This window comes from Homo sapiens, chromosome 12 (genome assembly GCF_000001405.40).
Source record: "Homo sapiens chromosome 12, GRCh38.p14 Primary Assembly".
Taxonomy (NCBI): domain Eukaryota; kingdom Metazoa; phylum Chordata; class Mammalia; order Primates; family Hominidae; genus Homo; species Homo sapiens.
The window spans coordinates 84,840,680-84,858,552 of NC_000012.12; positions in this window are offsets into that span (position 1 = coordinate 84,840,680).

The following is a 17,873-nucleotide window of genomic DNA, read 5'->3' on the forward strand; positions in this document are numbered from 1 at the left end:
TTGGATTTCTGTCCTACTCAAAATGTTGACATTGTTACTACAGTTATTTTGACACTCAAATTATCTTATATTTGTTAAGTAGAAGCCTGTTCAATGTTGTTGCTGTATCTTTTTGACACACCTACATTATTCTTTGAGCACATTCTTACTCCAAGCCCAAGTGGTTCCCGGCTCATCCTGTATTTCCTTGCCCAAGCCTTGGAGTGAGCCACTTCTTCAAAGAATCTTGCTTCATTTTAGTGAATAATTATATTTATGAACCAAGACCAATGTGCTAATGTGCTCATTTCAAATGAAGCGTCACTATATATTGGCTGGTCGGTGGAGAGATTTGGGAAATATATGTGTATATATATATATATGTACACACACACATGCACACATACACATATATGTGTGTGTATATCTATATATACACACACACGTACAAACTCATACATGCATATCTATTTTAATATCAACTTATATATAATTTATTCTTGAAAATCATGATTTCACACTGCTACTTCAAATTCTAGCCATTCCATTTCCATGTCTGTAACTCCATTTTTTAACAGTGTGAAACTTAGCTTCCTTATTTCCTTATTCCTTGTTTGCTTATTTTCTTCATCCTCTTATATCGTATGTAGCAATCTTACAGCAGTCTTGGTAATAGCTCAACACCTATGGAGGGGGAAAAAAGAAAAGAAAAACGAAGAAGGAGATAATCTCACCATGTCTTTCAACTAGTTCAATTTCACCCTTGAGGTCTTAGCTCAAATGCAACTACCCTTTACAACTGGCCTTTTCACACAGGGCCACAGAGGGCCACACAAGTCCCACGTAAAAATATAAGAAAATTGACTACCTAGTTTTTATAATGTTTTATTTTTTCAATGTGTCAAATTTTTGATGCTTTATTCCAGTAAACTGGTTAAGATCTTAGACTTTTTGAGATTTGATTCTGCCATTTATTAGCATTATGAACTTGGGTGATGGATTTTAATTCTCAAATATAAAATGGAGCTCATATTACAAAGACAGCTAACTCATACAGATGTTGTAAAGAACAAATGAGATCAGAACTTAAAGTTCTTGGCATGAGTTTTATCTGGCATGTAGTAATCACTTCAACAAGAAACGTTAGTTGTTGCTGAAATATATTTGGGGTAGTATTGTTGTTGCTATCAGGTTCAATTGATGTTAATATTAGCATTAGCACTCTTAAGATTTTTTCCTACAATAATTTATGTATCTTCCAAATCAGAATCATATGCTATACAGTTACCATTAAACTATCTGAAGATTTTTTCTTAAGAAACATATAAATTCACAACAATAAAAATCTTGCATAATTTTAGCATAGTATTCATAATGATGTGAATATATTGATTATGTTAGCCTGCCTATTACAAAGAGATTCTATTATTTTCAAAGTTGATTCATGGCATTATACACACACTAATACACACACACATATATAGACACATAATATATGCCTAAGCAATGATGAAAAAACTGGCAAATTCATCTTTTAACTGTTTATATTTTAATAAATGTGTTTTTAAAATATATTACTAATGTCCAGAATTGTTACTAGAAAATCAATACATTATATCAATTTTCTTGATGCCTGCTTTTATTTAGAAAAACAAATGTTTAATGATTATCTGTATTTTGTTTTTAGGAATCAATAATGTTGGTCTCTCATGTTTTTTAAATAAAGGTTTTATTTCTAAATGGAAATAAAATACATTTTATTTTAAAATTGCATGATAATAGAGTACACAAAATAAAACTAAAACAACAACAAGAACCAAAAACAAGAGGATTTTACATAAACATACACCTTCCAAGCAACCAATTATTAGCATCAATTTACTTGGACATAATATGAATGAAAATAGCTGAAAACCTATTGGTATGGAAATGTGCCACTGCCCTCTTATGGAAGATACTTGAATGACACTCAGTGGTTTCACAGATCACTTTTGGAGTGGAGATATAATTAAGATTATAGTGAACAATATGGTTCAATTCATTATACTTTATTCTGTTCACCTATTGTTTAGATTTTTGTAAGTTAATTTCCTAACTATAAAATATTTTAAAATTATATTTGTATAATATTAAAATTCCCCTTAAACTAATCAACTAATCAGTATAGAATTTTGACAAATTTCCTTTTTATATAGCGTCCTTCAAACTTGTATCAGAATTATAATAGTATGTTTAGTGAAAAATTAAAATACAGTAGTTGAGCATTTATGTTTGAAGGTGGGTGACATAACTCATTTTAATGTTTAAATCATGGCTGGTTAACACAGATGGAAAAGCTGGATAGATGTCGAAAATAATAGTTCACATTATGTAACATGTATTATTTGACATGCATTGTTCTAGGTCTAAAGCATTCCACATTATTAATCCACTATATTCTTACATCAACCTTATGAATTAAGTACTGTTATCATTTCTAATTCAGATGGAGGCATGGAAAAGTTACATTAATTATTCAAAGTCATTTGGATTCAAAGTAGAAGAGCTGGTATTTGAGCCAAGGCAATCTGGTTTCAAATAATTTATATGAAGATCTTACACAGGCTTACCTTGTTTTATTACACTTTGCTTTACAGAGCTTTGCACATACTGTGGTTTTTCTTTTACAAATTGATGGTTTCTTCCTTTAATCCAGCTAGTCTATCAGAACCATTTTTCCAACACCATGCTCACTTCATGTCTCTATGTCACATTTAGGTAATTATTGAAATATGTTAAGCTTTTATATTAGTATTACAACTTCTGTGGTGATCTCTTATGTTAGATTATTGTGGTTTTGGGGTACCATTAACCTCCCCCTTATAAGACAGCAAAGTTAATAAATGTTGCCAGTATTCTGACTGTTTCACCAACTGGCTTTTCCCCAGTCTCTCTTACTCCTAGGGCTTCCCTATTCTCTGAGACCCAAGAATATAAAAACTAGGCCAATTAATAGCATTACAATTCTAAGTGTTCAAGTGAAAGGAAGTGTTGTTCATCTCTCACTTTAAGTCAAAAGCTAGAAATGATTAAGCTTATTGAGGAAGGCATGTCAAAAGCTGATATAGGCCGAAAGCTGATATAGGCTGAAAGCTAGGCCTGTTGCACCAAACAGCCAAGTTGAGGGTGCAAAGAAAAGTCTCTGAAGGAAATTAAAAGTGCTACTTCAGTTGTCACACCAATGATAAGAAAGCAAAACAGCTTTATTACTGAAATACAGGAAGTTTTAGTGATCTAGATAGAAGATCAAACCAGCCACAACACTCTCTTAAGCTAAGCCTAATCCAGAGCAAAGTACTAACTCTCTTCTATTCTGTGAAATCTGAAAGTAGTGAGAAAAAAAGAAAAAACTGAAGCTAAAGAAGTTGATTCATGAATTTAAGGAAAGAAGCCATCTCCATAACATAAAAGTACAAGGTGAAGCAGAAAGTGCTGATGGAGAAGCTGCAGGAAGTTATCTAGAAGATCCAGCAAAGATAATTAATGGGATGACTACACTAAACAACAGATTTTCAGTGTAGATGAAACAGCCCTGTATTTAAGGATATGCAACCTAGAACTTTCATGGCTAGGGAAAAGTCAGTATCTAGCTTTAAATCTTCAAAAGACAGGCTGACTCTCTTGTTACAGGCTAATGCAGCTAATGACTTTAAGTTGAAGCCATTGCTCACTTACCATTACACCAATCCTAGGACCCTTTAGAATTACGCTAAATCTACTCTGCCTGTGCTCTGCAAATGTAACAACATAGTCTGGATGACAGCATATATGTTTATAGCATGGCTTACTGAGTATTTTAAGTGCGCCATTGAGAACTACTCCTCAGGGAAAAAAAATCCTTTTAAAATCTTATTGCCCATTGCCAACGCACCTGTTCATCCAAGAGCTCTGATGGAGATGTACAAGATTGGTGTTGTTTTCATGTCTGCTAATATATTCTTCAGCCCAAAGAACAAGGAGTAACTTTGGCTTTCAAGTCTTATTATTTAATGAATACATTTTGTAAAGCTGTATTCGCCAAAGATAATTATTCTTTTGATGGATCTAGGCCAAGTATATTGTAAACGTCTGGAAAAGTATCACCGTCTAGATGCCATTAAGAACATTAGTGATTCATGGGAGGAGCTCAAAGTATCAACATTAACAGCAGTTTGGAAGAAGGTGATTCCAGCCCTCATGGATGACTTTGAGGAGTTCAGAGTCTTAAATGGAGAAAGGAAGTATAGATGCGATGGAAATAGTAAATGAACTGGAATCAGTAAGTGGAGCCCGAAGTTGTGACTGAATTGCTGCAATCTCATGATTCAAATTCAATAGATAAGAAGTTGCTTCTAGTGGATAGCAAAAAAAAAGTGGTTTCTTGAGATAAAATATACTCCTAGTGAAAATGCTATGGACATTGTGGAAATGACGAGAAAGGATTTAGAATACTGCACAAACTAACTTGATAAAGCAGCAACAGGGTTTGAATGGATTGAATCCAATTTTGAAAGAAGTTCTGTGGGTAAAATGCTATCAAACAACATCACATCCTACACAGAAATCTTTCATGAAAGGAAGTCAACCTATGGGACAAGCTTTATTGTCTTCTTACTTTTAGAAATTGCCACAGCCACCCTAACCTTCAGCAACCACCACCCTGCTCAGTCAACAGCCCAACCATCAACATTAAGGTAAGATCCTCCACTAGCAAAAAGATTAAGACTTGCTGAAGACTCAAATGAATATTAGCATTTTTTAGCAACAAAGTATTTTTAATTAAAATATGTACCCTATTTTTTATGCATAATACTATTGCACAGATAGTAGACTACAGTATTGTGCAAACATAACTTTCTATGCACTGGGAAATTTAAAAATCCATGTGACTTGCTTATTGTGATATTTGCTTGATTCAGGTTGTCTGGAACTGAACTTGCAAAATCTCTAAGGTATGCTGTGTATTTATCCATGATCCCTGAAGAGAACTTAGCAATGGTCAGCTCATCTCTACTTATATCATTATAATGAGTTTCCACAATTTAAGTGGGCAAACTAATTTGATCCTATAATAAGAGTGTAATTGTTCATATGGGGCTCTGTTTATTCTCCTCTAATATTTCTTCCTCTTTCAATACCTGCTTCTCTTCTACCCCACCTACTTAAAAAAAAATAAAAATGAAAAACATGTGTCTTCTATGTCAAGTGCTATGTAAGTTCTGGGAACATGATTCTGAACAAAACAAAACACCTCACTTTTGGGAGTTTATAGACTAATGTAAGAAACAGATAATTTCAATATAGTGTGATGAATGCTGTGCTAAGGGTGAGCAGAGCACACAATCAGGACAAACAGCCCCACAAAAGAAAATACCATCTGAACTAAGAACTGAAAGATGTGTTGATTCTAGTCAAAGTTAAAGGGAAGAATGGAGAGGGATGTGGATATAGGTAATAGCATGTACAAGGAAATGAAGTAGAAGAAATTTAGAATACAATAGTTAAAGAACTATGAATATAGCAATTGCTAGGGGACAGAGGCATAAACTTATTGCAGAGAAGGAGGGTTACCATCTTAAACACTTTGTACTGTAGGAAATAAAAAGACTTAAAATGATTTTTGTACTTTAGAAGGTGTATGTTTATGTAAAATCTTGTTTCTTTTTGTTTTCTTTGCTTAATGCTTTATTTTACACACCTCTATTAATGTGTAATTTTAAAAGAAAATGTACTTTTATTTCTCCATAGAAATAAAACTTAGTAAAATAATATTAAAAGGTCAACATTATTGATTCCTAAAAACAAAATACAATCATTAAGTGTGTTTTCCTAAATGAAAGCAAGCATCAAGAAAACTGATATAATATATTGATATTCCAATAACAATTCTGGACATTAGTAAAATATTTTGAAAACACTTTCATTAAAATGTAAATAGTGAAAAGATTAATTAGTTAGGTTTTTCATCATTGCTTTGGTATTATTGTGTGTGTGTGTGTATGTGTATTACTGTTTGTTAAATGCCATAAATCATCTTTGATAGTAATAAAACCTCTTTGTATTAAGTAAGCTAGCACAATAAATTTATTTACATCATTTTGAATAATATGCAATATAAATCTAATACTGCTAAAAGTAATAATAAAGTATAGATTTCACTATTTTCCTTCATATTTCTAGAGAAAAATACAAATAACTGAAATATTTAAAAGTATAATTCTAGTCTGATCATTCTCTTAAAAACCTAAGTCAGCCTTGTTAGTTATTCAATGAGCCAGACAAGGTTGCCATGTCTGGCTGATCAGTGAAGGGCATCAAAGAATGGAAAACAAAAGTAGGAGCTCACAGTCCATTACTCTGTCTAGTGCACACTTTTCTTTAATGATGTTACAAGGTAATACAATTTTATATTAAAAGATAAAATCTCATCCACATATAATTAGTCCTTCCTCTCTGATAATCAAAACTATCATGTGAACACAGAAATTTATATTTCTATTCTGTCTATTATCAAGTAATTATAATTTTTATTAAGACAAAGCATAATTTAATGCCAAAAATATTTTTCCCTATTCCAAAAACTTTTTTATGGCCTTAACATTACCTGAAATTGTATGACTATAATTTTTAAAAGTTATTATACTTTAATAATATACAACTATTGAATAAACTAAAAAAAACTACTTGTGAAATTTCAGATATTTTCATGTGGAAAAAAAAAATTGATTAAATAGAAAATTAGCTGGCAGAATCAAGACAAAATCTCAGAATTAATGTTTATCAGCATTATATGCATCATGAAGTGCACGCTGATGATGAGAATATAAAAAAAAGTGAATGTTTCCACCCATCATCACCATCATAGAGGTATTTGCTGACTCTGCCTAAGTGAATCAGTTCTAACAGCTTAATTTAAATAAATTGGAAATTTGAAAATTTGGAACCTCTGGAAAATTGAAGTTTAGTATTGAACTATTTTATTTTCTAAAAACACACAGGTAAATATACAACAAAGTCATGACAAAAATAACTGTTGTTTTTGCTATTGAAATGAGTGAATAGCAAAACCAGAAGATAGATTTATTTACTTATTTTGGTTGAAATTTGTTTGAATAGAAATATTTTATTAACAGTTGAGAAAAAATAAAAATGAAACAGTCCTGGATAAGAAAACGCTCCCTCTGCTTTATGGATAAGTTATTATTAAAAGAGTTATAAAGTAAAAACACAATAGAAAATAAGTTCCATATCATGATATTAAAGTGTATATGATGTAAATAGTCAGATTTATTTTACTGAAACTAATTACTAGAACCAGTTTGCCAGTGGCTTCATTTGGCAAAAGAAATGGAGAGTAGGGCTGGGCATGATGTCAAGTGCCTATATAGTCCCAACTACTCAGGAAGCGAGGCAGGAAGATGGCTTGAGCCTAGGAGGGTGAAGCTGTAGTGTGCAATGATCACATTTGTGAATAGTTACTGCACTCTAGCCTGGGCACCATAGAGAGACCTTTTCTCTAAAAAGAAAAAAAAGAAAGAAGAAAAGAAAGGAAAGGAAGAGGAGGAGAAGAAGAGGGAAAGAATGGAGGAAGAAGGGAGGGAGAGAAGGAAGGAAGGAGAGATGAAGAAAGGAAGAAAGAAAGGAAGGAGGGAAAGAGGAAGGAAGGAAGGTGGGAGGGAAGGAGTGGAAGGGAGGGAGAAATGGAGGGAGGAAGAAAAGAAAGTGAAAGAAGAAAAAGAAAGAAGGAAGGAAAGAAAAAAGAGAGAAAGAGAGAAGGAAAGAAAGAAAAGAAAGAAAGCAAAGAAAGAAAGAAAAAGAAAGAAAGAAAGAGGGATGGATGGAAGGAGGGAAAGAAAGAAAGGAAGAAAGAAAGAGAGAGAAAGAAAGAAAGAAAGAAAGAAAGAAAGAAAGAAAGAAAGAAAGGAAGAAAGATGGAGGGAGGGAGGGAAAGAAAGAGAGAGAGAAAGGAAGAAAGAAAGAGGAAGGAAGAAAGAAAGGGGAAAATAGAGAAAGAGAAAGAAATAGGGTAGATATTAATATTTAGAATAGCTGGTTGTTTGGTTGGTTGTCTATTTCAACATTTCATTACTTGATACAAGAACTCAGAAAAAAGGAATTTGAAAAGATTAAATCTCTTGTAGGAATGCTTACAGAAAGAAAGAATTCAAATTATTATTTCCAAAAGTGGATTTAGAAAGTATAGAGTGAATAGTTAAACTTTGATTTGATTTGTTCAGCAGCGATTCGGACATCCAGGTCCCTTCTGCTCAGACAGGCAATCTTCATTGTTCAGTTCTATAAGATATTAATTTCATTATTGTAATGCTCATATGTTCCAGTATTAATCCTTTTAATATTTGCTCAAATTGAAATCTTTAAAATGGAGGTTTAAAAAGGCATATCCCCGATGAGACAGAGAGTGCTCTGGAGGGAATAAATATAAGCCAGGTGTCTGCATTATTAATTCTATTGACCTTGCACTAATGTGTGTAAATGCTAGTGATGAGCAGATAGAATGGCTGCCACATTGTTATTGTGCTTGAAATTTTTAAAATTTACTCTATATTATCAGGTCAAGGTGTGCTGGGGTTTCATGTTCTACTTTTTTTTGCTTTTTATAATGAAACATTCCTTAAAAACACTGAAACAACCAATTTTTGGAACTAGTATATTAGACTGTTCCTGAAAAAATTCTATTCTCAGAAAAACAAATGTCAATCTCTACTAATTAGTTTTTTTTTAATCTTCTTTACTATGCAACTGAATATACCCTGAAAAGGCAATTGATGAAAAATAATAGCAGCTGGGATATCACCACTCATCTGCAGGAGATGGTTTCTTTTATTTATGCAGCACCACATATGGTATTGCAGAGGCACCACATGGCACGTTTTTGCTGTTCAAACAATTCAGGTGTTTTGGGTTTTGGTGGTGACAGTGTGTGTACATATGTTTTGATGGTGGTACTAAAAATGATCTTGGTGTGTTAAAGCAATAACCAAATCCAAAGGGCATTTAATTTAGGACAAGATAATGTTTAGTCCCTTTTTTCTTTTCACCTCCACATGAGAGGTATTCTTAAGACAAACTTTTAGGTAGAATTTCATGTCATAATAGCTAGAGGATGAGCCAACTTTGGAGTTAAGCATTTGAGGCAAAATAACATATGAAGCATTTTATTTCAGTTCCAAATTTTGAAGGTGAAAATATGCTATACTCAGTAATAGATAGCTTATGGAATGTTTTGTTTTAATATTTCCAATAGTTTTCTAGAGTTTTAAGGTTTTCTCTTTTTGTCAAAACTTTATGGCTCAAAAATTTACAACTAAGCACTTTCATTTTCATTCTGTTTGAGAAAAGGCAATAATAATTTGTCTTATTTCATTTTGTGTTGCTATAACAGAATACCAAAGTCCAGGTAATTTATGAAGAAAAGAGTTTAATTAGCTCATGGTTCTGCAGGCTGGGAAGTTCAAGAAGCATGGTGCCAGCATCTGCTTGGCTTCTGGTGAGGGCTTTTGTGCTGGTCACAACATGGTAGAAGGTCAAAAGGGAAGAAGACGTGTGAAAAGGGATCAACCAGGAGGAACTTCCCTTTATAACAACCCAATCTCATGGGCACTATTCCATTCTTATAAGAACTAATCCAGTCTCATGAGAGAGAGAACTCACTTCTGCAAGAAAGCCACCAAGCAATCCATGAGTGGTCCACTCCCATGACCCAAACGTCTCCCATCAGGCCCCATATTCCAATACTGCCACATTGCGGATAAAATTTCTACATGCATTTTAGTCAAGGAGAAACCACATCCAAAGGATATCAAAATCAATATTTTACTTGTCATTTTTAAATTTTCTTTGCACCCATAATTCCTAACCAAGAATATATATTAGAATAACTGTGAAGTTTTAAAACTATACTCTTGTCCTGCTTCCAACCCCAGAAGAATTTTTATTTAGTAGGTTGGAAATTGATATGGTTTGGCTCTTTGTCTCCATCCGAATCTTATCTTGAATTCTAATCCAAATTGTATTCCACATGTGTTGGGGGAGGGAACTCATGAGAGATAATTAGGTCACAGGGGTGGTTCCCTCATGCTGTTCTTGTGACAGTGAGTGAGTTCTCATGAGATATGATGGTTTTATAAGGGATTTTCCCCCTTCACTCAGCACTTCTCTTTCCTGCTGCCATGTGAAGAAGGACGTGTTTGCTTCCCCTTCTGCCGTGATTGTAAGTTTCCTGAGGCCTTCCCAGCCCTGTGGAACTATGAGGTAATTATACCTCTTTCCTTTATAAATTATCCAGTCTCAGGTATTTCTACATAGCAGTGTGAGAATAGACTAACACAGAAATATAGCTTTAACAAGTGTACAGGTGATTGAAAACATAATTATAGTTAAGGAGCACTATGTATTGATCTTGAATTTACTGGAAACACATACTGATTTGATGATTTGTTAAAAAGAAGTAACTTCTGCATAAAAATACACATAAACACAAACACATGAAAATGCAAATATATTTTCATGAAATTATGTCCTAAGGTCTCACTGTATCAATATACTAGACTATCTCATTATGACTCTAATACCTTACTCAGTACATTTTCTCCTTCATTCTTTTATGTTTTAATTTTTTATTTTTAATTATTATGGGTATATTGTAGGTGTACATATTTGTGGCTGATATGGTTTTTCTGTGTCCCTACCCAAATCTTATCTTGAATTGTAACGCCAACAATTCCCACATGTCATGGGGGTAACCCAGTGAGAGGTGATTGAATTACGGGGGCAGGTCTTTCCTGCACTATTCTTGCAATAGTGAACGAGTCTCACAAGATCTATGATTTTAAAAATGGGAGTGTCCCCGTACGAGTTCTCCTTTTTGCCTGCCACCATCCACATAAGATGTGATTTTCTCTTCCTTTCCTTCCACCATGATTGTGAGGCTTCTCCAGCCACGTGAAAGTGTTAAGTCCGTTAAACCTCTTTCTTCTGTAAATTGCCCAGTCTTGGGTATGTCTTTATCAGCAGCATGAAAATGGATTAATACAGTGGCATACATGAGACATTTTTATACAAGCCTGCAATGCATTATAATAAAATCATGGAAATGAGGTATCCATCCCCTCAAGCATTTATCCTTGTGTCACAAACAATCCAATTATACTCTTAGTTATTTTAAAATGTACAATTAAATTATTATTGACTATAGTCACCCTCCTGTGCTATCAATAGTAGGTCTTAACTCATTCTAGATAACTATTTCTTTTGACTCATCAAGCATCACCACCTCCCCCACACTCCCCAACTCTCCTTCTACCCTGCCTAACCTATGGTAACCATCCTTCTACTCTCTATCTTAATGATTTCCATTACTTTGATTTTTAGATCTCACAAATAAGTGAAAACATTCAATGTTTGTCTTTATGTTTCTGGTTTATTTCACTTTACAAGATGACCTCCAGTTCTATCCATGTTGTTGCAAATGACAGGATCTCTTATGCATTTTTATGACAGGATATACTCAATTGTGTAAAAGTATCACATTTTCTTTAACCATTTATCCATTAATGAGCACTTAGGTTGCTTCCAAATCTTGACCATTGCTGTGACAAACATCGGCGTCTAGATATATCTTTGATATATTGGTTTCCTTTCTTTTAGGCATATACTCAGCAGTAGGATTGCTGGATCATATGGTAGCTCTATTTTTAGGTTTTCAAGAAAACTCCTAAAGGTTCTCCATAGTCGATGTACTATTTTACACCCCCACCAAGAGTGTACAAGAGTTCCCTTTTCACCACATCCTTGCTAACATTTGCTATTGACTGTCTTTTGTTTCTGCATTCTCTATTCTGTTCCACTGGTCTATGTCTCTATTTTTATGACAGTATCATGGAGTTTTGGCTATCATAGCTTTGAACTATAATTCGAAGTTTGGTAATATCATTCCTCTGATTTTATTCTTTTTGCTCAGGATAGCGTTGGCTACTCTGGGTCTTTTGTGGAACTGATTTTGTATGTTGATTTTGTATCTTGCAACTTTACTGAATTCGTTTATCAGTCCTAACAGTTTTTTTGATGGAGTCTTTAGGTTATTCCAAATATAAGATCATATCATCTACAACAAGGATAACTTGACTTTTTTCTTTTCAGTTTGGATACCCTTTATTTTTTTCTCTTGTCTGATTGCTGTAGCTAGGACTTCCAGTACGATTGAGATGTTGAATAATAGTGGTGACAGTGGGCATCTTTGTCGTGTTCCAGATCTTAGAGGAAATGCTTTTAGATTTTCCCCACGCAGTATGATACTAGCTATGGAGCTGTCTTATATGGCTTTTATCATGTTGAGGTATGTTCCTTGTATATCCAGTTTTTAAGGGATTTTATCATGAAGCAACGTTGAATTTTACCAAATGCTTTTTCAGCATCAATTGAAATATCATATGGTTTTTATCCTTCATTCTGTTGATACAATATATCACATTGATTGACTTGCAAATGTTGAGCCATCCTTGCATCCCAGGAATAAATCCCACGTGGACATAACGAATGATCTTTTAAATGTATTGTTGAGTCCTGTTTGCTAATATTTTGTTGGGGATTTTTGCATGAGTATTAATCAGAGATATTGGTCTGGCATTTTATTTTTTTGATATGTCTTTGTCTGGTTTTGGTATCAGAGTAATACTCGTCTCATAGAATTAGTTTTTAAGTATCCCCTCTCTTATTCTTTGAAATAGTTTGAGTAGGATTGGTATTATTTCTTTTTTAAATGTTCGGTAGAATTCAGCAGAGAAGCCATTGGGGCCCAGGTTTCTCCTTGCTGGGTGAGTTTCATTGCAGCTTCAATATCATCATTTGTTATTGGTCTGTTTGGGTTATGTATTTTCTCATGGTTCAATCTTGGTGGATTGTATTGTCTGGGAATTTATCTGCTTCTACTAGATTTTCAAATTTATTGGCATATAATTACTCATAGTAGCCACTAACAATCCTTTCAATTTCTGCAGTATCAATTGTAATGGTTACGTTTTTCATCTCTGATTTTATTTATTTGGGTCTTCTCCCTTTTTTCTTTGTTAGTCTGGCTAAAGGTTTGTCAATTTTGTTTATCTTTTCAAAAAGCCAACTTTTTGTTTTGTTGATATTTTGTATTTTCTTCATTTCAAATGCATTTACTTCTGCTCTTATCTTTATTATTATGTTTTTCTACCACTAATTTTAGTTTTGGCTTGCTCTTCCTTTTCTAATTACTTAAGATGCATCACTAGATTGTTTATTTGAAGTTATTCTCCTTTTTTGATGTAGGCACTTATAGCTATACATGTTCCTCTTAGTATTGTTTTCACTGTATCCCATGAGTTTTGGTATGTTGTGTTTCAATTATCATTTGTTTCCAGAAATCTTAAATTTTCTTCTGAATTTCTTCATCGACTCACTGGTCATTCAGGACCATATAATTTACTTTCAATGTGTTTGTATAGTTTCCAAAATTTCTTTTGTTATTGATCTCTAGTATTATTCCCTTGTAGCCAGATACGATGCTTGGTATTATTTCATTTTCTTGAATGTTTTCAGACTTGTTTTGTGACCTAATGTATGATCTATCTTTTAGAATGATTCATGTGCTGAGGAGAAGAATGTGTATTCTGAAGCTGATGCATGAAATTTTCTGTAAATATCTATAAGGTTTATATTTGGTCTGTAGTGCAGATTAATTCTGATTTTTTTTGTTGATTTTCTGTCTGGGAGATCTGTTCAATGCTAAAAATGGGGTCTTGAAGTCTCTGGCTATTATTTTATTAGAGTTTCTATCTCTCTTTAGATCCAATAATATTTGCTTTATATATCTTGGTTCTTCAATGTTGGTCGCATATGTATTTATAATTGTTATATCTTCTGACTGAATTTACCCCTTTATCATTAAATAATGACCTTCTTTGTATTTTCTTGTAGTTTTTATATTGAAATCTATTTTGTCTGACAAAAGTATAGCTACTCTTGCTCTTTTTTTTGTTTGTTTCCAATGATTTGGAATATCTTTTTCCACCTTTTATTTTCAGTCTACATGTATTTTTATAAGTGAAGTGTGTTTCTTGTAGGTGACAGATTATTTGTTCTTGTTTTTTCATCCATTCAGCCACTCTATGTCTTTTGATTGGAATATTTAGTTCATTTATAATCAATGTTATTATTGACAAGCAAGGACTTCCTCTTGCCATTTTGCTAAATTTTTTCCAGTTGTTTCATTGTCTTCTCTTTTTTCTTTTCTTCCTGTCTTCCTCTTAGTGAATATTGTTTTCTCTGGTGGTATGATTTAATTTTTTTGCTTTTTGTATATCCATTGTATGTTTTTCAATTTGAGGTCACCATGAAGCTTGCAAATATTATCTTATAATATATTATTTTAAAATGATGACAACTTAACACTAATTGTATAAATGAACAAATATCCCAGAAGAAACCTTATAAAAACTCTATACTGTAACTTAATCTCCTACTTTAAAAACTGTTTTTATTTCTCTTCATATCTTATTGTACTATGTCTGAAAAGCTGTTGTACTCATTTTTAATATTTCATCATTTAGTCTTTCTACTTAAGATGAGTATTTTACACACCCCAATTACAATGTTATAATATTCTATGCTTTTCTATGAGCTTACTATTACCCGTGAGTTTTGTATCTTCTTGCTTATTAACACTATTTTCTTCCAAATTGAAGAACTCCCTTTAGCATTTTTTGTAGAAGAGGTCGGGTATGAATGAAATCTCTCAGCTTTTGTTTGCTTGGGAAAGCCTTTATTTTTCCTTCAGGCTTGAAGAATATATTTGCCAGATATACCATACTAGGGTAAAGGTTTTTTTTTTTTTTTTTTTTTTCTAATTTTATTTTTGGCTCCAGCACTTTAAATATGGTATGCCACTCTATTTTGGCCTGTAATCTTTCCATTGAAAAGCCTGCTGCCAGACATACTGGCATTCCATTATATGTTATTTATTTCCTTTCTCCTGCTGCTTTTAGGAGCCTTTCTTTATCCTTGATCTTTGGGAGTTTGATTATTACATGCATCAAAATAGTTTTCTTTGGCTTAAATCTGCTTCGTGTCCTATAACCTTGTTGCATTTGAAAACTGATATTTCTAGGTTTAGGAAGTTCTCTATTATTATCCCTTTGAATGAATTTCTATCCCTGTCTCTTTCTCTATCTCCTCTTTAAGGGCAATAACTCTTATATTTGCCCTTTTAGGCTATTTTCTATATCTTATTGACATGCTTGATTCTTCTTATTTTCTTATGTCTCCTCTGACTGTATATCAAATAGCCTGTCTTCAAGTTCACTAATTCTTTCTTCTGCTTGATCAGTTCTGCTATTAAGAGATTGATGCATTTTCTGTATGTTAATTGCACTTTTCAACTCCAGAATTTCTGCTTCTTTTTAATTATTTCAATCTCTGTTAAATTTATCTGATAGAATTCAGAATTTTTTCTTTGTGTTATCTTCAATTTCTTTGAGTTTCCCCAAAACAACAATTTAAAATTATCTGTATGAATGATCACATATCTCTTTTTCTCCAGGACTGGTCCCTGGTGCCTTTTAGTTCATTTAGCGAGCTCATGTGTTTCTGAATCATCTTGATGCTTGTGGATGGTCAATGCTTCTGGGCATTGATGAGTCAGGTATTTATTGTACTCTTTGCAGTCTGGGCTTGTTTGTGCCTGTCCTTCTTGAGAAGGCTTTCCAGATATTCAAAAGGACTTGTGCCTGAAGCCCAATAATGCTGTTTTTTGTTTGTTTGTGTGTTTGTTTGTTTTGTTTGTTTTTTTGAGATTCATAGAGATACTCCCTTGGTGACTTGAATAAGATCTGGGAGCATTTTCTGGATTACCAGGGAGAGACACTTGTTCTCTTCCCTTAATTTCTGTCAAATAAATGGAGTCTCTCTTTGTACTGAGCCACCTGGAACTGGGAATGTGGCATTGCAAGTACCCCTGTGGTCACCACCACTGGAACTATGCTGGGTTTGACCTGAAGCCAGCACAACACTATGTCTCACCCATTGCCTTCTGTAACCACCACCTGGCTACCAACTGTGTTCACTCAAGGCCCTACAGCTCCATAATAGGTAGGTAGCAAAGCCAACCAGGTTTGTGTCCTTCTTTTCAGGTGTTGGGTTCTCCCAGGTCCCAGACAGGTCCAGAGATGCTGTCTGGGAGGCAGGGATTGGAGTCAAAAATCTTAAAAATTTACCCAATGTTCTACTCTTCTGCAGCAAAGCTGGCATTCAAACCACAAGACAAAATTCTCTCCACTCTTCCCTCCTCTTTCCTCAGTCAGAGGAGCCTCTCTCTGTGGCCACTACCACCAGCCCATAAGGTGCTCTGCCAGACCACCACTGATGTTCACTTAAAGACCAAGGACTCTTACTCACCCTTCAGAAAAGTGGGCTCCCGTCTGGCCAAAAGCTGGTCCAGAAATGCTGTCCAAGAGCCTAGTCCTTGGCTCAGAGACCCCAAGACCCTGCTTGTTGCCCTAGCCCATTGTGGCGGAGCTGGTACCTAAGGTGCAAGACAAAGTCATCTTTATTTTCTCCCTGATTTCCTTAAACAGAAGGAGTGTTTTACTATTGTCACTAGAGCTGGGAGTGTGCTGGGTCACATATGAAGCCAGTACATCTCAGAGCCCAAGGCCCATGGCATACTACCTGGGTATCACTACTGGTTATTCAAGGCACAAGGGCTCTTTAGTCAGCATGTGGTAAGTCCTGCCAGAACTGGGTCTTTTCCTTCAGGGCAGAAGGCTCCCTTTTGGCCCAGGATGTGTCTAGAAATGTCACCCCCAGGAGCTAGGGTCTGGAATGGGGACCTCACAGCTCTACTCTGTGCCCTATCCTACTGTGGCTGAGCTGGTATCCAAGATGCAAGATACAGTCCTTCTTACTGTTTGATCTCTCCTCAAGCAAAAGGAAGGAGTCATTTTTGTTGCTGCAAGTCACACTGCCTGGGGTTGGGGGAGTGGTGGCACAAGCACTACTCCCTTAACCACCCAGGCTGGTGTTTCCCTAGGTCATGTGCCACCCTAGTCCACCCTAGTCCCAGCCCAGCAGTAGGAATTGCCTAGGAATTGCAGTCCTTGTGTCCTAGACTGCCTTTCAAGTTTACCTAGGACCCCAGAGCACTTTGGCCCATGTTGGTGAGGCTTGCTGGGACACCCAAGTTTTGACTGCTGGGATGGGCGATTTCTTTCCGGATATGTTTGGTCTAAATGCTCTCTCTGTGCACAGGTGCTGACTCAGCCTAGCACAGCTTTTCTCTCCTCTGTGGCAGGGCAGCACTGAGTTATATGTAAAAGTCCCTTAGTCACTGTGCTTTCCCTTCCCCAAGTGCACAGGCTGCACAGCAGGCCCTCTGTTAGGAAATGGGAAAGAGGTGGCTTCAGCAATTCAAGAATGTCCCCTACCCTCTTCAATGCCTCTTTCAGCAATATGAAGTTAAAACCAGTATTGTGAATGTTCACCTGATTTTCTTGTTCTTGTGATCGTGCTTTTCTGTGTATATGCAGTTGTTAAAATTTGGTGTTCCTGCAAGGAAGATAAAAGGTGTAGGCTTCTATTCCACCATCTTGCTCCACCCCCTCATCCTTTTATTCCACTTTATTATCCCTCCCGTCACAGTCCCTAGTCTCCTTTCTGTTTGAAGACAGACAAATCTTGGCTACATCACTTGGAGGTGCAACTTTAGGCCAGGGTTTATAGAAGTAGTGGAAAGTAATACAAATTTGAAAGCCTCAAATTTTACAGTATAGAGAAGGCTATTTCAAACCACCATTTGTTGATTAACTCTTACATTTCCTGGGGAAAGGCAGGTAGCA